Source organism: Homo sapiens, chromosome 8 (genome assembly GCF_000001405.40).
Source record: "Homo sapiens chromosome 8, GRCh38.p14 Primary Assembly".
Taxonomy (NCBI): domain Eukaryota; kingdom Metazoa; phylum Chordata; class Mammalia; order Primates; family Hominidae; genus Homo; species Homo sapiens.
Genome location: NC_000008.11, coordinates 89,956,771 through 89,976,904, shown reverse-complemented (window position 1 = coordinate 89,976,904; position 20,134 = coordinate 89,956,771). Strand labels below are relative to the sequence as shown.

General features: G+C 37.0%; 1 protein-coding gene across 7 annotated transcripts in view; it reads left to right on the top strand.

Annotated features, from left to right (window-relative positions):
• Positions 1 to 20,134, top strand: part of NBN (nibrin) — a 51,337-nt gene that overhangs the window by 7,763 nt on the left and 23,440 nt on the right. For 6 of the 7 annotated variants that reach the window (NM_002485.5, NM_001024688.3, NM_001440379.1 and 3 more), the window contains 4 exons: positions 5,615 to 5,732; positions 6,348 to 6,541; positions 12,398 to 12,495; positions 18,051 to 18,180. In NM_002485.5, the coding sequence (NP_002476.2) occupies positions 5,615 to 5,732; positions 6,348 to 6,541; positions 12,398 to 12,495; positions 18,051 to 18,180 (540 nt within the window). Of the gene's footprint in view, positions 1 to 5,614; positions 5,733 to 6,347; positions 6,542 to 12,397; positions 12,496 to 18,050; positions 18,181 to 18,882; positions 18,947 to 20,134 lie in introns of those variants that run through there. The other variant, XM_047421796.1, reaches the window with a different exon arrangement.

Here is a 20,134-nt window from a genome sequence, read left to right as displayed (position 1 = left end):
CCTCTTTGTTTATAATTTTTATCTGGGAAGTTTTTTTGTATTTATACTCCAGTTGGCAGGTAATGTGATATATTTGGACTCTGGAAAAATATACTCAGATTTTAAAATAGAAGATTCTTAAAATTTTTTGAGTCCAAGACCCCTCAGTATGTGCCAGGTCTGACCCGCAGACCCTGACCCAGCGACAGATGAACAAATGCACTCAAACACAGGTATCCAGTGAAAGAGTGAGCTAGGGGGCTGGGCCACCCACAGACACTGAGGAGGGTGCTGTAAAGAGTTAGCAGCCGCGGTCCCGACTAGCTGTTGCTGTGGTCATTTATTCAGTATAGATATAATGGCAAAGGCTTTGAGTCAACACACTTGTGGATAATTAACATGGTTCCCCTCCCAGGAGAGAGCAGTCCTACGAATGATTAAAGGCCAGGTTCCGAGCTAAGTAACTTATCTAGATCAGTTTCTTAACATCCCGTTATCTAACCTAAGCTTTCAGGCACCGTATAAAAGAATCTGGCTGCTTTCAGCCAAATCCTGTTCCGAAACTGATGTAAAACCTTTTGGCCTTCCAAGGTTTGCATCTTTCTACATTTTTTCCCACCACCCTGACTGAACTCCTGCAAATATGAAAGCAGGCCAGCCCTGGTGGCTCACGCCTGTAATCCCAGCACTTCGGGATGCCAAGGTAGGCAGATCACTTGGGGTCAGGAGTTCGAGACCAGTGGGACCAACATACTAAAAATACAAAATTAGCTGGGTGTGGTGGCAGGTGCCTGTAATCCCAGCTGCTTGGAAGACTGAGGCTTAAGAATCCCTTGAATCCAGGAAGTGGAGGTTGCAGTGAGCTGAGATCCCACCTCTGCACTCCAGCCTGGGCGACTCAAAAAAAAAGAAGTTGAAAGCACTGATCTCACCTCAAGAAACTTCACCGACATAACTACAAACTTGCATAGTATTTTAACAGAATCACATTTTTCCCTGAAGCCTCTTGAGGAACCTCCCTGAGGAAGTACATAAATCTTGTAAATAATGACTCTAGCTGCAAATAGTGAGCTATTCTTAATTCTAGATTATACTTGAGGATAGAGGAGTCTGATAAGTTTTCACTACTAGTAGATATATTTCATGGTCTTGGAGTTTTTAGAATTAGTCGTTGATTCCTCTTTTTGTTCACATTGTCAGTTGTGTTTAACCTAAGGTTGTTTTTGACCAAGTTCAACATAATTTTTTTCTAGATTCAATTTTTGATTGTATCAATGTACATGACGACTATACAACATCCCTACCATAAGATTGTTGAATCCCTCCTAATTCGGTGTTAACTGGGACAGGTTATTTATCCTATTAACCCATATTCGATGATGGCAATTGATAATACAATTTTTAAATATATTTAGTTATTTGCCTTAATAGAGTCCTATACCTATCTGGATCCATTTTGATGTGCTTGTTGAAGGCTTATTTGTCTGAGTACTCAATTAACAGAAAAAAGATTCAATTTATAAACATTAGTAGAAGGAATGGGTTACGAAAAGGATATGAAATAAATTGTGGTGACGCCTTTGATTACATAAGTACCTCTAATGTTCCAAAAAAGCATGACTGCTAGTCCTGGATTTAAATTAGGAGGCATACTATAATATTTTTTCCAATAAAATATACAGTCCTATTTAGTACAGCTATGTCTACATCTTTGCACTGTTACCAAGAAACAGGATATGACAGTTATAACTTCATGTACATGAAATGATTTGCAATATCTCATTTTCCTTGACTGTCATCAAAGTAGTAAAGTAGATGAAGTCATTTTTAGAAGAATACATTTAAAAGGAGTGTTTAATTTCAATAATCTGTGCTCTAATAGAGGAGATTTGTATGTCTAAATGTAAGGAGATTATCCCCCAGAAAGGAGGGGGAGTTGGCTTTTATTTGAGTTTTACAAAGTCTCTCATGTTGTAGGATGGTGTATTAATTATTTCAAACAACAAGTATTGTTTTAGTGAGACACTCTTGAGAGATGGAGTCCTCCATGGGTCCCTTGCATTCATAAACAATTTGCTGAATAGGCCAAGAATGCAAAGCCTTGACCCTCCTTTACACAGACCATTTCTCAAGGGTATGTTTGCAGTGAGAAACCTCGAGGGATGAAGTAATGTTTCCTTCCTGTGACAAAATGTAGGCTTGCTTAAAGCTTGTTATAATACCGGTGGTTTCCCAAGTTCAGTGTTCCTCTCTCCTGTAACACACACCACTGTATGTACCTTTCACTGTATGTACCCTCTACGTCTTCCCTATGGGACTTGGTCAGAGAGGAGACCTGCAGCAAACATACTGGGGCTCATGCTGCTTGCTTTGCTGTGACTCAGGAGTGTTTGTCTTCTGCCAGCATCCATGAAACAGGAACAGGTTAACTTACCAGCTGATAATCAAATCTCAGACCCAACAGACACATTGGCCTGAAATAATCTCAGTAAATGAAAGTTTGACAGTTTAGGAAGCTTATAGAAGTCACCTTACATAGTTAATTTAAATCGAAGGTAAGAAATATGACTAGTATTAGTAATTTTTTTCAGGATATGGAACCTCACATTTGCAAATTGTGGATGTCACTGTAGTCTAGCCTTTTCAAGATCACCAAAAAAAAAAAAAAAAAAAAGCCATATAGTAAATGGTTCTAGAAATTATGAACATATGCCTGCAGGACTAATGAAATAAACAGCTGTCCAGATATTGAACAAATAAGTATGTGTGGCTTGGGATACAGTTTCTAGAGCCAGAATTATACATGGATTCAGAAAAATTCTGTATTTGCAAAATCTTCGTACAGAAGTGAAAATGATATACTGTAGGTTAGATGAAATTTATTGAAGATCATGTAAAGAATTTAAATAGAAAATGTGAATGGGAAAAAGCAAAATTTCTAGATTAATATCATTTTATAGAATGTATGATTCATAATATGTACCAGTTACTGTGTAATAAAACATAATTATTTGTAGCTCTTAAAGTTTCTGTATAAACGAACCCAAAACATTTTAATTTTTTAATGATAGAAATTGGAGATCACTTTATATTTGTAGTATCGTTATATTCAGTCAATATGCCTCTAGCCTAGGTCTCTGACAGGTTACTTTCCTATTTTCCAGTTTTTGTACTAGTTTATTAAATTACTAGAGTGTCAGAAATGCTTTAAAACTTCTAGAATGTAATGCTTCAGACGTAATGATTTTCAATGATCTCTTCACATTCATCACTAGTCTTTTCTTTCTTGCTCTCATCATTACACTGGTAAAGAGAAAAAGGCTTATGTAGGTATTTGAAATTCTAGAACATAGTGTTTTTTGATCACTGTGTTATCAATTATCTATGTATGAATGTGTCTATCATATATCAAATGTAGGTATTACTAAGAATAACCCATGTTGGAGTCATAGCCAGCATTTGGTTAGCTTCTAGATAATACAGTTTTGTATTTTTTTGTTCAAGATTGATCTTACCAAGTATTGGGGCTCAAATTTATCAGTGTTCTCAAAACAAAACCAAAATACATTGTTCAAGTTCTAGAATTTTAATACTTAAATCTATACTTGAGGGAATTGAAGGATGTTTATACTTTTTATTCACTTTTAAATTATTAAGTTGAATTTTTATTTATATTTTGTAATGTCAGTTTATTTGTAAATATGTATTGAATGCCTACAGTGAAGCAGGCAAGATAGACTTGTGGATATAATGATGAGCCAAAAAAAGTTACAGTTTCTGCCCTCATGGCACTTAGTGGAGAAGCCAGCTGTTAAAGAATGACACTAATAAAGTTAGAACTCTGGTAGAGCCATTAGAGAGGCCTAACAGGCTACCATACACATATGTTTAGGAACCTGGCTCAAACTTCATCGAACTAAGCTACAGTTAGCTGCTCCCTGGCTACTGTAAACTGTTATCTATGGCATAATTAAGAATGACAGTGTGAATAATAGAAAGCTGTAGATAATTTAAAAATCATTCAACTTTAGTGTTTTGGGAAAGCAGGAAGAATCTCACATCTACTCAGTCATAGTTTTATAGTCATGTTTGACTGTAACACACAGTCATATGTGTTAAACATTTCCTTACTGTTTTTGTCTGTAACTGGCTCTGTAATCTGTCCTAGTGTTGTTACATTATTGTGTGAACTAATTGGTAAACTAGTTATTTGTATATAAGTAAAGTGTTAGTTGGCTTTTACACTAAGAAAGAAGTATAAGTTATGGGGGAATATTTATTAGGAGATAAAGGATAAAAAGGATTCAAAGAGATATTAAAATTGATCCTTTTTATGTGTCCGAATGTCTACTAACTTTCCAGTGCTCTTATTGTAGATTTAGTTTTTGTTAACAGTTAAAATAGTTTCCACTGTTCTCTGTATATTTTAAAAGTAAAATAAATAGAATTTTAAAGTCGGTTGTTTAGAAAAACCATAACTAACGCAGTTGCCTGCATTCTGTCCTGCCAAGTGAGTCTGCTCTTGCCTGCAGATAACTCATTTGAGATTGCAGCTTCCAGAAATCATTGCTTTAAAACAGACTTACAGCATCTATTGTAGTGAAATTAAAATACATGCATCAGTTATCAAAAAAATTTTAAAGTATTGTAACTCTTCAATCATAACTTAGCTTTACTTTATGAAATATGTATGTTTCCAAGGAGAAGTCCAGGGGAAAGATGTAAGGTAATTAGTTCTAAAGTGCTGGATAGTGACTCTTAATGACTGCAGTGTTTTTACCACGTTGGATGTTGATCTCTGCAGATAGTTAACTCTTGATTTGTGACTGATTGTCCAGGTTGTGAATTTCTCCCTCCCTACATTGTCCCCTTATCATCATCATCATGGGTTAGTAATTTTTACTGAAAGGAAGAGAGACAAGTCGAAATGCCGGTCAGTTATGAACAGCTGTAGCAAAAGATCTGATTATACAGGAAGTTGAAACTCTAGACTGATGAGAGGCTTAAGAATTATCTGTTGATATTTCTCCATTTCTTATTTTCCTTTATTTTCATGGATGATTAAGATGTTCTTATAGCATTAAATTAAAGAGCTAAAACATTATATTCTTTAGTCTTGTTTTGGAAATTTTATTTGAACTGAGTAAATAATGTAAGTTTAAAAATTTCCTGAACTTCTCCAAAGAGATCTCTAACAAAACACTCATAATAGATTGTGCTAGTAGAATTGAAACATGAGCGTTTTAATAGATATTGGCTCCTAAGTAAACACAAGATGCTAATAGAATTTGATCTTTATGGATGATGTTTCTCTCAAACTTTTGTAATTCAGACACCTTGTTTGAGTCATGTGTGTTTAATGTTCATCCTGTTATGATTGTCTACCTTGGATTATTTATTTTGAGATATTAATGATCAATTCTAGCTCTTCTTTGTGTCACCTGCCACCATATTTCTAGAAAACGCGATTAGATGCTTTTTGTCATTTTGTCCCAGATAAAATTCTTACTTAAAAAAAATACTATAAAGGTATTATGGAAATTATGCCTTTTGAGTGTCAGATAGTCACTCCGTTTACAATTTAATAGCAAACATAGTAGTATATAATTAGAATATACTTTAATTATTTTTACAGTTTTTACCCACCTCTTGATGAACCATCTATTGGAAGTAAAAATGTTGATCTGTCAGGACGGCAGGAAAGAAAACAAATCTTCAAAGGGAAAACATTTATATTTTTGAATGCCAAACAGGTAATTATGTTATAAGCTAAATTTTCCTAAAGAATACATTACAAACTAGGATACATTATTAACTCTTATCAGTAGTTGTTAACGTATTTCATTTTGGGATTTTGTGTAAAAGTGTGAAGTAGAATAAAAAAACCCCAGGCACCAGACCTGCCCAGTGATCATGGCTGTGATTACGGGGTTTCTTAAAATCTGTGATAACTGGCCTATTCATAAATATGCAAGTGAGAAGGACAGGAAACTTAGTTTTAACTTCTTTAGTTAGTAAGCTAAACCTCTTTAGTTAGTAAGCTCACTAAAGAAGTTAAATCAGTTGAATATGTTCTGTGTACCAAAGTGGGGTTTCCAAGAGTTTATGTTGTAGTGGAGAAATGCAGATAAGCCCACAGTTAGAGTGCTGTTAGGAAGTGTGATGAGGAACCACAGAGAGTGTAACAGTTCCAGGGCCGCAGAGACCTGTTGAACTAGGGACTTTCTCAAAGTGGAAGCTGAAATGACCTACTCAAGAAGTAGCACCAAGTCTTCTTGAATTGTACTTCTATGTTTCCCAAATCAAATTCTTATGTGTTCAAAAAATTACTACATTTTACTTTAAAAAATGTTTCCTTCCATTTTTAGCATAAGAAATTGAGTTCCGCAGTTGTCTTTGGAGGTGGGGAAGCTAGGTTGATAACAGAAGAGAATGAAGAAGAACATAATTTCTTTTTGGCTCCGGGAACGTGTGTTGTTGATACAGGAATAACAAACTCACAGACCTTAATTCCTGACTGTCAGAAGAAATGGATTCAGTCAATAATGGATATGCTCCAAAGGTATAGAATTATTCTTTATTAGTAAAAAACTGCAAGTAGGAGATTTTATGTTTAACCTTTTTTGTTGCTTTTCACCTAACAATGTAAAAGTAGATACAAGAATTTTTTTTTTTTGAGACGGAGTCTTGCTCTTGTTGCCCAGGCTGGAGTGCAGTGGCACGATCTCGGCTCACTGCAACTTCTGCCTTCTGGGTTCAAGCAATTCTCCTGCCTTAGTCTCCTGAGTAGCTGCGATTATAGGCACCCACCACCACACCCAGCTAATTTTTGTACTTTTAGTAGAGACAGGGTTTTGCCATGTAGGCCAGGCTGGTCTTGAACTCCTGACCTCAGGTGATCCTCCTGCCTCAGTCTCCCAAAGTGCTGGGATTACAGGTATGAGCCACCGTGCCTGGCCTATTTTTTATTTTTTTGAGACAGGGTCTTGCTCTGTTGTCCAGGCTGGAGTGCAGTGGCACAATCTTAGCTCACTGCAACCTCTGCCTTCTGGGTTCAAACGATCCTCTGCCTCAGCCACTCTAGTAGCTGGGACTACAGGTGTGCACCACCACACCCAGCTAATTTTTGTATTTTTAGTAGAGATGGGGTTTCAACATGTTGGCCAGCCTGGTCTCAAACTCCCATCCTGAGATGATCCACCCACCTCGGCCTCCCAAAGTGCTGGGATTACAGGCGTGAGCTACTGCGCCCGGCCGATACAAGAATTAATAAAAGGTTTTATAGTGTAGTATACTTGAAAATTAATTGTGACTTGGTATATTAGATATAGAATATCTTTATTCATGACAGTTTTACTCAAAAATATTTTATGCTTTTTTGTTACTTTAATAGAATTTGTAGAATTTACCTCTGTAAATTAACAAAGTAGTGTTAAGTTTTTTTACAGAATATGTTGCATTTGAGAAACTTAAAACTCAACGGTAAAAGGTTTTCTGCAATTGCCTAGCGTTGAAATGTATTTGCCCTTTGATGGTTATTACCCATTAGAAAGACATATAAACATTCCTATCCTTATATAGGCTATTATGGGAAAGCAGACAAAAAGTCAGATAGGTTGAAATGATGTTTGTAGAGTGGAGGGAGACTGTAAAAGAGCTAACTGAAGGATTTTTCTTAGACTTTAATTTGCATTAATAATCTTAGCATTGTTGAAGCCAGTAAGTATTGTAGAAATATATGGCTTGGCAGTCTTCTGACTAAATTGCTCTTCATGTGGCAAAAAGTAGGTGAGGACTAAAGTGTTTATATGCCTGAAAAGTCCACAGCCAGCTTCCTACCAAAGATTCATTCTTCCTGTCCCAGGAGTCCTTCTGACCATGGGGGGATTTTCTTTTTTTCTCTTACAGGCTTGCTGAAATAAAAAGTAAAATTTTAGTCATCTATCCTATAAATATTTTACTTAATTGAGATATATTAACTACTGTAAAAAAGAAGATATACTATATAACAAAAATACTATCTTATTACTACAACACAAATTTACTGTAGTTCCATTGTGTTTTAGGCACTGGAAATATAATGAAAAACAAGATAGTCACAGTCCCTGCCATCACTGGAGCTTACTGTCTAGAGGCAGAGACAGAGAAAGACAAGTAAACAAATCATTACACATGTATATAAAGGAAGCAGTAACCCGGCAGTGGGGAAGAAGCTTATTCTAAACAGAGAAGGCCTCTTTTAGGCAATGTCTTACCTATGACCAGTTTTTCAAAGAGCCAGACAAAGAATGTGCCAAGCAGAGCAACAGCAGTAATACATTAAAAAAAAAATTATCCTACATAGCAGGTTCTGGTCTAAGAATTTATGTATGTATAAACATTTAATCCTCAACCTATATATTATTTACTGTTGTGGTCCTCACTGTGCAGATGAGGGAACTGAGGCAGAAGGGGGTTTGCATATAGCAGAGGCAGTGAGCAGGGTGGCCAGGATGTGAGCCCAGGCAGTTGGATTCTGGAGTCCAGGCTCTTTACTTTCAGCACATATTGACACCCTGAGGTTAAAAAAAAGTAGCTGGAGTACCAGGTAGCTCAGACCCTGGTGCCTTGATCATGAGGTGACACTTGGCCCCTGTTACAATATGGTTTTTTGGGTTTTTGGTGGGGGGATGTTGAGACATGGTTTCACTCCAGGCTGGAGTGCAATGGTGTGATCTTGGCTCACTGCAGCCTCCACTTCCCAGGCTCAAGCAATTCTCCTGCCTCAGCCTCCCAAGTAGCTGGGACTACAGGCGTACACCACCACGTTGCTGCTAATTTCTTTATTTCTTGTAGAGACTGGGTTTTGCCATGTTGCCCAGGCTGGTCTTGAACTCCTGAGCTGAAGTGATCTGCCTGCCTCAGCCTCCCAAAGTGCTGGCATCATAGGTGTGAGCCACCACACCTGGCCACAATATGTTTTTTGGAGGGAATGCAGTATTATATTTTGAGAAAGACTGTCACTTAAAATGATACCTGTTAACTTAGTTCAAGCCAATGAAGGAGCAATTATATGAAGCAGAGTGGCCAGTAAAGCCAGCTATTGACCGAACTTCAACAGGGCAACATTGTGATTGGTGATTGCCATGGCTGTATTGATTAGATGTCAGAAGTGAGTATAGGAAATCTGTGGTAAAGATTAAGTGTCTTTTGGAGAAGATTAGAAGTCTAGGGGAACAATACAGCCCTGATTTTTGTTCTTGCTGAGACCTTTTTCCGGTATCTCAGCTCAAATTTGGTAACTCTTCCTGTTATTAATTTAATTATTTTCTCTTTATTTCCTCCTGCTTTTCCTTCTTTCCTGACCTGTTCCCCAGCCTTGCACAGAATTGGATGAATCATAATCCTTGGTCCATGACACATGCTCATCATTGATTTATGCGTAATACACATTTATTTTGTTCACCAATTATTTAGTTATTTTTCAGACAGCAAGTGTTTGAAAAAATCTGTCATCTAAAATACCAGCCAGATCTTTGAAAATAACTTACGTGGTTACCCCTAGCCCAGTTTTCTCCTGTGTGAAATAACTGTCATCCAGAATCCAGTTTACAGTTGTGGGTGGCCAGAGCCTATTCAGCAGTTCAGGGTGCAAGGTGGGAACCAACCTTGGATAGGACACTATTCCATTGCAGGGCACACTGACACACCCACCCACACTCACTCAGACTGGTACAATTTGGACACACCAGTTCACCTAATGTGCACATCTTTGGAATGTGGTAGTAAAGCAGAGTACACACAGAAAACCCACACGGACACTGGGGGAGAGTGCAAATTCCACACAGACAGCGGCCCTGGTTAGGAATCAGTTTTTTCTTGCCGATGTCATAATGAAATGACACTGAATGAAATGATGTTATTCGAGGACCTGCTATATAGTAAAAATCTTTTCTGTTTTAGTCAGTGCTAAAGATACTCACCTATGTTTTTTACTAGTATTTTGATACCATCTTTTGTTTTTGACATTTGTTTTTAACTTATCTGGAATTCTGTTTTATACCAAAGTTACATGCACTTTTGTGTTTTTGACTTTATTCTTTTTCATTCATCAGTCTGCCTTTCTTTGTACCAATACCACATTGTCTTAATTAGTATAACTTCCATGAAGTCCTCCTAGCTGGTAGAACAAGTCTTTTTTTGCTCTTCTTCGGAAGCATCCTGGCTATTCTTGGCCCTTTATTTTTTCATTTACATTTAGAATCATCTTTTGTTAAAGTTTGTTTGGATTTTGATTAGGAAGTGCATTGAATCTACAAGGCAACTTGAGAATTAACGATTTATGTAAATTTTAATTGTTTTTATCCTTGAATGTGGTATCCCCATTTATTTAGGTTTGCTTGAAATCTCTTAATAGAATTTTATATTTTCTGTAGAGAGATCTTGAATATCTTACTGTATTTATTCCTAGCTAGTACATATTCTCTGATATTATTATAAATGAATGATATTGTCACTTAAATTACCTTTTCTAGTTCACTACTGCTGTAAAGAAATTCAGCTGACATTCAGATAATCATCTTATATCCAGCCATCTTGCCAGACTCCTCTTTTTTCCTAATAATTTATCTATAGTCTTTTCTATAAATCATTATCATCTATAAGGAATGTTTCCATTCTCCTTTGTAATCGTTATTTCTCTGATACCTCTTTTTTCTGTCTCTTTGTTCCATACCAACTGGGACCTCCAGAGCAGTGTTGAACAGAAGTGGTGAAAATGGCCACATTTATCTCACTGTTGACTTTAAAATAAATGCTTCCAGTGTTTCTCCATTAAGGGTGATGTAATTTCTGTAGAGCATTATTAAATATGTATTAAAAATGTTTCTATTTTATGTAACCATTCTTTATAACTAATTCACATAGTATAAGTTATAGTTGCAAAAGTTAGTAAATAAAATACCAGTTTTGAATTACCTAAATTACAGGTAGGTATATGTGATCACTTGATTATAAAGGTTTTTTAGATTTTATTTTTTTAGTCTGATACTTTAATTGCACGTATAACTGAATCCTATTTAAGTAAGCTCAGTACACACAAAAAGACACATTAAGCATTTCAAAAAGACCTTACGAACTAACCATTTAAAATATCTTGACTGAGCAAGGTGGTTCACGCCTGTAATCCCAGCACTTTGGGAGGCCGAGGAGGGTGGATCACTTGAGGCCAGGAGTTCGATACCAGCCTGGCCAGCGTAGTGAAACCCCATCTCTACTAAAAATACAAAAATTAGCTGGGTGTGTTGGTGCGCGCCTGTGGTTCCAGCTACTTGGGAAGCTCAGGGCACAAGAATTGCCTGAACCTGGGAGGCAGAGGTTGCAGTGAGCCATGGTTGCACCACTGCTCTCCAGCCTGGGTGAAAGAGCAAGTCTCTGTCTCAGAAAAAAAAAAAAAAATCTTTACAATGAGTATTGAAGACATTTTGTAGTTGTTTGTTAAAATTTGAGGTGTAATTTTTATATGATATTAAATGGTGTATTTTTGTTTTTATAAAATCAGTCATTGACCTTACAGAACAACAAAAAATAGGTTCACCATAAGATTCCTTTAATGTGAAGATACCTTAATACTTGTAAATTTGGCAAAATGATTTGATTTACTAAAAGTTGTAACACATGTATAGATATACCTTAGGTATAGTTCTGTCTACTTCTCTCCGTCCTTCCTCTCTCTCTTCTTTTTTTCTTCTCTTTGAAGTTTCATCTTAGGCTCATAGTATCCGTAGATTTGTTTGTAAAAGCCTGTGGTGATTTTTTTTAATTTTTTTTTTTTGAGACGGAGTCTCGCTTTGTCATCCAGGCTGGAGTGCAGTGGCGCGATCTCAGCTTACTGCAACCTCCACCTCATAAGTTCAGGCGATTCTCTTGCCTCAGCCTTTTGAGTAGCTAGGATTACAAGCGTGCACCACTACACCCAGCTAATTTTTGTATTTTTAGTAGAGATGAGGTTTTACCATGTTGGCCAGGCTGGTCTCAAACTCCTGACCTCAAGTGATCCACCCGCCTCAGCCTCCCAAAGTGCTGGGATTACAGGCATGAACCACCATGCCTGGCCATAAAAGCCTGTTCTGTTGTTTAATTTGGGTAGTACTGTATTCTTTTTATTCCAAAAATTGTAGAATTTTAGAACTGGGAAGATCTATATTCTTTAGCCCCTTATTTTACAGATGAAGTTAATGGAGTTACTAAAAGATGGTAGACTTGTCAACGTAACAGTGCCCCAGCGAGTAAGCTATTATAGTACTCTGCATTTGAAATTCTGTCTATACCATAAAATTATTTGGGAGGAAAAAAAAGAGGTTGCTTTATCTTGACATTATCTGAATAAAAGTTGCTAGTTTTAATATATTATCATACTTAAACTATTTTATTCTAATAGGCAAGGTCTTAGACCTATTCCTGAAGCAGAAATTGGATTGGCGGTGATTTTCATGACTACAAAGAATTACTGTGATCCTCAGGGCCATCCCAGTACAGGTAATTGAAGCATTATTTTATTGATTCGTTAGCAACTTTATTATGTAAATCGATAAGCTAAATATACGTTACTCATATACTTGCTAGGGGTGACCATATTCACCATGTTTTAAAATTCATCCATTTATACTTTCATTTATTCATTCCATAAATATTTGTGGCTGCCATGTAGCAGAAACTGTTATGAAGTGGTAAATAAAATAAGAAAGATCCTTGTTATTATAAACTTTATGTTCTGAAGATCAAGATTTAGTAACCAAACACACACACATGGTAAGTTCAGATCAAGCCAAGTATAAAGACAGGTAAAACAAGGTGATGTATGTAATAGTGATGGTAGTAGGCTATTTAGATAGGTATTCAAGGAAAGTCTCAGGAGGTGACATTTGAGCCATGTGTCCTGAATGATGGGAAAAGGCAGCTGTGTGAGGATCTGGGTGGTGGATAATTCCAGGTAGAAGGAACAGATCACTCTTAGGTTTGTGTGGAGAATTCTAAGGGTCGACAGTGTAAGAGGAGATGTGAATAGAATGCTATTGTGGAAATCTGGATGTGAAAGAGCCTGATGCCTTGGACCAGCATGGTAATAGTAGAGATGCAGAAAAATGAACAGGTTCAGGATATATTTTAGAACTAGACCTGGTGGGACTTTCCGGTGGAGCAGTTAGAAACAACTCCTAGTTTCCTAGCATAAGTAACTGGGTGGATGGTGGTGCCATTTACTGAGATGAAGAATGTGCATTATAATAATCTCAGTGTTAATCATGAAAGCCAATGTATTCAGAGACAGTCACTGTTTCCCCTTTATTAGTTAAAACACATTTCCATAGTTTTTAAAAAAATTTTTTAGTAAGTTGTTGTAAAAATGGTTTATTTCTTTTCTTCTTGCTTTTTTACCTTGGAGATTTTTACATTTATTCTCTCTACTAACTTTTATCTAATTTGCCTAGCTCTCAGAGCATCCATTCTGTATTCCTTATATATTTATTTGCTCCCTGGATTTGTTGTGTAGTTATTTCATCAGCAGCTATTGAACTTGGGCTAAAAGAGACAAGTTAGAGAACAGCACTACCAGATTGCACACTCCGGGGAGCATCATTCACTGTAGTCCATTGAATGGCAACTATGGAGTCAGTCCGTGTATCTCCTGAGTGCTCTGCAACCTTGGTTTAAACAAGTAAGGAATGTGCTAAGCTAAATTTTGGAAGGAGTTAGCCATTACGGCCTAATGACCAGGAAGCTATTAGGTATGTAGATCGTTAGTAACCATGCATAGTAATAATAACTGCTGTCTCTGGAGTGTGCAGAGACTAGAGTAAGCACTTTACCATCATCAAACTTTAATCTGCAAAACAGTCCTTATAAGATAGAGGGAAGAGCATCATCTACTTTTCGTAGATGAGGGAACTGACGGACAGAGAGGAAATTAGCTGGAGGTCACATAGCAAGTAATTGGTTCAAGCTGAGTCTTAAAGCTGTTACGACATCACATTGCAGTACAAATGGCTTATATTTTAATGTGTGACGTTTTGAGAAATGGTGGTGTAGGGATGATTGGGAGCTGATGCAAAAGCATAGACATCTGATAAAATTTGACAGGCTAGTATTTTATTATTTGGATAAGAATGTTTATTCAGCTGACATCTCTACCCTGTCCCATTGAGTATACTACATATGTTTGTGTCTGTACATAGGTAACCTTCAAATACACACAGTCGTAAGTTCTTGTGAAGTTTTAAATATAACCAAATCACTTATTTTGGTGGAATCGTGATATGATTAATATTTTCACCAAATTCCCAGAATTCATCCATAAAGTAAAAAGCTAAAGACCAACTCTTCAGGCTCTTGGCAAGGGAACTTTTTAAATGTGGATGCCAAAGAGAGCCATATTCTTGGAGAAACTACTGCTTCCTTGTCTACTAGAAATATGCTCAACTTTTAGAACTAGCAGGTGCTGTAGATATTATTTTGTTGATAGATTTCTGTTCTCTTACAGAAAAAAGATCAGTATCAGTAATTTTAGACTTTAATTACAACAAACATATAAAAACGGTGATTAGGTCTAAGTCAGTAGCTCCCCTTGTCTCAGCACCCATTTGGGGTCACTGTCCTGTGTTTCTCTGTTTAGAAAATCAATTCTCAACTAGATATATGCTTCAGAAACAATTCTGAATACAAACGTACATTGTCCATGATTCAGAACATTCTGGGATGCATCCTAGACATCTGAGTTTTTTGGTTGGTTTTGTTTGATTTTTAAGCTCCTGTTTCCTATACAAACTCTAGAAACCACTAAATTAGAATAGTCTTGAGAAGAAATGAACTAGAGAGGAGTCTTCTTTTATATAAAAAGAAGAAGCACTCAGACTGGAAACTTTGGACATTTTTTATTCTTCCTTTTCCATTTTATCACCAAGACCTGAAATTCTCACTCTACAGCTTCTGCTCAAGAGGTCTGTGACTGTCCCCTTCTCACAGCCAGTACCCTGTTTGAACCCTCTACATCCTTCTCTCTGGAGTGCTGGTTGTATTAGTAATTGCCCTAGTAATGGTCCTTACTCCAGACTCATCTCTACAGTTAATATTTCACTATGCCACTATTCAATTACCTTCTCTTTTCTCAAAAATTTTAACTAGCTCTTATTATCCACAGAATAAATCTCCAAGCCCTTTGTCTAGACTTCTGAGTCCTCAGTAGTTTAGCTGCAGCCTTCCTCCTCCCGACCTCGCCTTTTTTACATAGTTTCTCTACAGAATATGTGTGCCATATTTTTTATAGTTCCCACACTTCCTCACCTTGAACATCATGTTCCATTCCTAGAATGTTCAGTACTGCTCGTCAAAATCTGACTCATTCTACAAATGATTACCTCCTTCGTAAGGCTCTTCTAAATTGTTTTCACTCCCAACTCCTCCAAGTCAGATGTAATTATTCTGTTTCTATGCTCAGTAGCTTTTTTGCATTCCAGCCGGAGTTTCTTCCTACTTTGGATATAACCAGTTGTTTCCACACCTCTTTCAGCCACTGAGTAGATTGTAGGCTCTTACTAATTTGGGATCCCCTAACAGCAGCAAGCACGGTACTTGTTTGTAATAGGTATAAATATTTTGCGTAATTGAACTAAGCTATTGGTACACAAGATTATGTTTTCCAGTGTGGAGCAACAAAATATTGTCACCCACTGTTGAAATTGTGTTTATAGCTGAAAGGGCCTTAGAGATCATCTAATCGTTCTATTAAAAGATAAGGTATACCAAGGCTGAGAAAAGTTAAGGTACATAACTACTTCATGGCCAAGCCAGTTCTAAAATTTGGTTTTCTGACTACCAGACTGGTGCTTTTTTCTGATGTATTATTTCCTACAGAAACAAAGTCATGAGAGTGAATTAAAAAGTACACTGTATGTAGTATTACTTCTTGCATATTTTCGTAGGTAGGTTTAGGTGGGTTCCAAGTCATAGTCCTCTGATAATAAAATAATTTTATAGCACAACCAACTTTGGGGGAACAGAGTGAATGAGTCTCCCTTTTCTCTCCTCCTTCCTTTGTTTTTATATTCACTCTTTTGTTATTCAACAAATACTTATTGAACATTTGTTATATACCTGTATTATGGCAAGCACTTGAAATAAAGAGGTGAATAGATGAGACCAAGTTCCTGCCCTTATGGTATTTTTAACAAGGAGAAAATTGTAAGTAATCTGTTAACAAACACCAGTTATTTTGGGTCATTAGCTTATTATTATTATTATTATTTCATAAAGTCTTGCTCTGTCACCCAGGCTGGAGTACAGTGGCATGATCATAACTCACGCAGCCTTGAACTCCTCGGCCCAAGCAATCCTCCTGCCTCACCCTCCTGAGTAGCTGGGACTATAGGTGTGCACCACCATGCCCAGCTAATTTTTAAATTTTTTTGTTGAGATGAAGTCTCACTATGTTGACCAGGTTGGTCTCTTAACTCCTGGCCTCAAGCAGTCCTCTTGCCTCATCCTCCCAAAGTGCTGAGCAGCAGCGAGCCACCTCACCGAGCCTACATTAAATTATTCAGTGATGATATGAACATTTATAATTTTTACTCTTTCCAAACTTATGTGCAGCTGAAAATGAATTCTAGAGATATGTGTCTTAAAGGAAATGCCAGTGAGCTTCTAGAGGTCACATAGAGAAAGTGGCGGAAGTCATTTAAATATCTGAATTTAGAATTAGTAGTAAATATTAAGCACATCCTGTGTCACAAGGACCTAGCAGAATGATAATTTAGCTTAGGTGTTTAGTAAATATCAACTTAAAATTTTTTTCAGTTAATAGTGTAAACTTTTTTTACATCTACTCTATACCAAATATTGCTCTAGGTACTGGTGATACAGAAATACACAAGACTTAGTCCTTATTCTCAAGGATACACCAGTCTAACAAGGGAAAGTAGCAAGTAAACAAGTGATGATAATGATAACAGCTAATGCTGGCACAGTGCTTACTATGTTCCAAGCATTTTTCTAGGGGCTATTTTACCCTCCAAACAACTTTGTGAGGCAGATGTTATAATTATTCTCATTTTATAGATGAGGAAAGGGAAGCATAGAGAAGTTAAATAACTTGACACAGGTCACTCAGCTAGTCATAAGTGAATTTTGTTTATTGCTTTTTTGTTGTTGTTTTTTGAGATAGGGTCTTAGGCTGGAGTGCCATGGCACAATCACTGCTCACTGCAGCCTTGACCTCCTGGGCTCAAGTGATCCTCCCACTTTAGCCTCCTGAGTAGCTTGGACTGCAGGTGTGTGCCACCATGCCTGGCAAGTTTTTTTTAATTTTTGTAGAGATGGGGTCTCCCAGTGTTGCCCAGGCTGGGCTCAAACTCCTGGGCTCAAGTGATCCTCCTGCCTCAGCCTTCCAAAGTGCTGGGATAACAGGCGTGAACCACTGCACCTGGCTTGAATTGTTATTAGAATGATTTGCGTGGTGGTATGGAAGGAGAATTGGAGAGCACTTAATTCAGTGTGGGAGATTCAAAAAAAGTATTCCAGAAGAGCAGCACTTGAACTAAGTTGTTCTTCTGGTAAGTAAAAAGATGAGGTAATCATTATGGTTTTCTGGAGTAGCCAGAAGTTTATGTCTAAGATGGTTTTACATGATTTGTTTCAAATAATGTATTCCTTATGAAAATAAAACTCACTAATTCTGATTTCTATAGATGGTAGGGTGTATACACTTTCTGTGGGGGAATAAATGTAATTTTTTGGCCCACTGACTTAAAACATAATTTGAATTAGAATTTGCTTATTTTATTTTTCTTTCAGTTGATAAGACTTCAGCACAAAGTATCTGATGTGGCTTTAAAATGATTTGGTTTAGATAAGCCCGTCATAGATGCCCGCAGGCTGCTTATAGACTGTTTTGTGTTTGTTGGTACCACTCATTGGAGAAAACCATGTGCAGTATTCCCTAGTTAATCCCCTCAGCATGGTATAGTCTAACAATTTTAAGTGACCAGATGTTCATCTTCTATCTAGCAGTTGTGATTCTTTCTTTCTACTTGTGTGATTTACAGGATTAAAGACAACAACTCCAGGACCAAGCCTTTCACAAGGCGTGTCAGTTGATGAAAAACTAATGCCAAGCGCCCCAGTGAACACTACAACATACGTAGCTGACACAGAATCAGAGCAAGCAGATACATGGTAAAGCTTCTTCATTACCGTACTATTGTTATTATTCTATCAATAAATTAATAGTATATTCAGGAAGTAATGCCCTTTATCAGGTTGTCTCTTGAGAGAGAAAGCATGGAAGAATGGGATACCAGGGAAAATGATATCTTAGGACAAGGGTCAGCAGGTTTTCTGTAAAGGAGCGGCGAGTAGTTATTTTCGGCTTTGAAGACTGTTGATCTCTGTCCCAGCTCCTCCACTCTGCCACTGTAGCATGAAAGTGGCCATAGACGATATGTAGTCATTGTCAAGAGACAATACGTAGTCTCTTAAAGACAAGGATACTTTCCAAGAAATGCTTCCTTACACAATTTTGGCATTGTGTGAACATCGAACAGTGTGTTGACATAAACCTACATGGTATAGCGTACTGTATAGTATAGATAGCCCAGGGGTTCCTTATCTCTCAGCCACGGTATCAGTCCATCACCTGTTAGGAACCAGGCCACACAGCAGTAGGTGATCAGCGGGCAAGCTAGCAAAGCTTCATCTTTATTTGCAGCTGCTCCCATTGCTTGCATTACCGCCTGAGCTCCACCTCCTGTCAGATCAGCGGTAGCATTAGATTCTCATAGGAGCACAAACCCTATTGTGAGCTGTGCATGTGAGGGATCTAGGTTCTTATGATAATCTAATGCCTGATGATCTGTCACTGTCTCCCATCACCCTCAGATGGGACTGACTAGTTGCAGGAAAACGAGCTTAAGGCTCTCACTGATTCTACATTATGGTGAGTTGTATAATTTTTTCATTATATATTACAACGTAATAATAATAGAAATAAAGTACATAATAAATATGCTTGAATTATCCAAAACCATTCCCCCCTCTGCCCGCAAACCTGGAACCTCACCACGAAGCTGGTCCTGGTTGCCAAAAAGGATGGGAACTGCTGGTATAGACTATTTCTCCTAGGCTACACACTTATATGGCATGTTACTGTACTGATACTGTAGGCAATTGTAACACAATGGGAAGTATTTGTGTATCTAAACATAGAAAAGGTACAGAAAAAATATTGTATAAAAGATAAAAAATGGTATACCTGTATAAGACACTTACCGTGAATGGAGCTTGTAGGACTGGAAGCTGTTCTGGGTAAGTCAATGAGTGAGTGGTAAGTGAATGTGAAAGCCTAGGACATTACTGTACATGATTGTTGCCTTATTAGCACTACATTTAGACTACACTAAATTTATATGCAAAAAAATCTTCAATAATAAATTAACCTTAGCTTACTGTAACTTTTGTACTCTGTAAACTTTAATAATACCTAGCTTAAAACATTTAAAACATTGTATAGCTGTGCAAAAATATTTTCTTCATATTATTCGATAAGGTTTTCTGTTTTCAAATTTTTAAATTTTGTTTTACTTTTTAAACTTTTGTTAAAAACAAAGACATAAACATACATGTTAGCCTAGGCCTGCACAGAGTTAGGATCATCGCAGTCATTGCCACATCCTGTCCCACTGGAAAGTCTTCTGGGGCACTAACACACATGGAGCTGTCATCTCCTATGATAATAATGTCATCTTCTGGAATCCCTCCTGAAGGGACTGCCTGAGACTGTTTTAAAGTTATTTTTTTTATAAGAAGGAGTACATTCTAATGATAAAAAGTATAATATAGTAAATACATTAACCAGTAACATAGTCATTTATTATCATTATCAAGTATTATGTATTGTACCGAATTGTATGTGCTGTTGTGCTATACTTTTATACAATTGGCAGCATAGGTTTGTTTACATCAACATCACCATAGACACTTAATAGGTTGCACTGTGCTGTCAATAGGTGATAGCAATTTTTCAGCTCCTTTATAATCTTATGGGACCAGCATCATATGTTGCAGTCCATTGTTGACAGAAATATCATTATATAGTGTCTGTGACTGTAATTGAAAGTGTTGTGTTCTAATA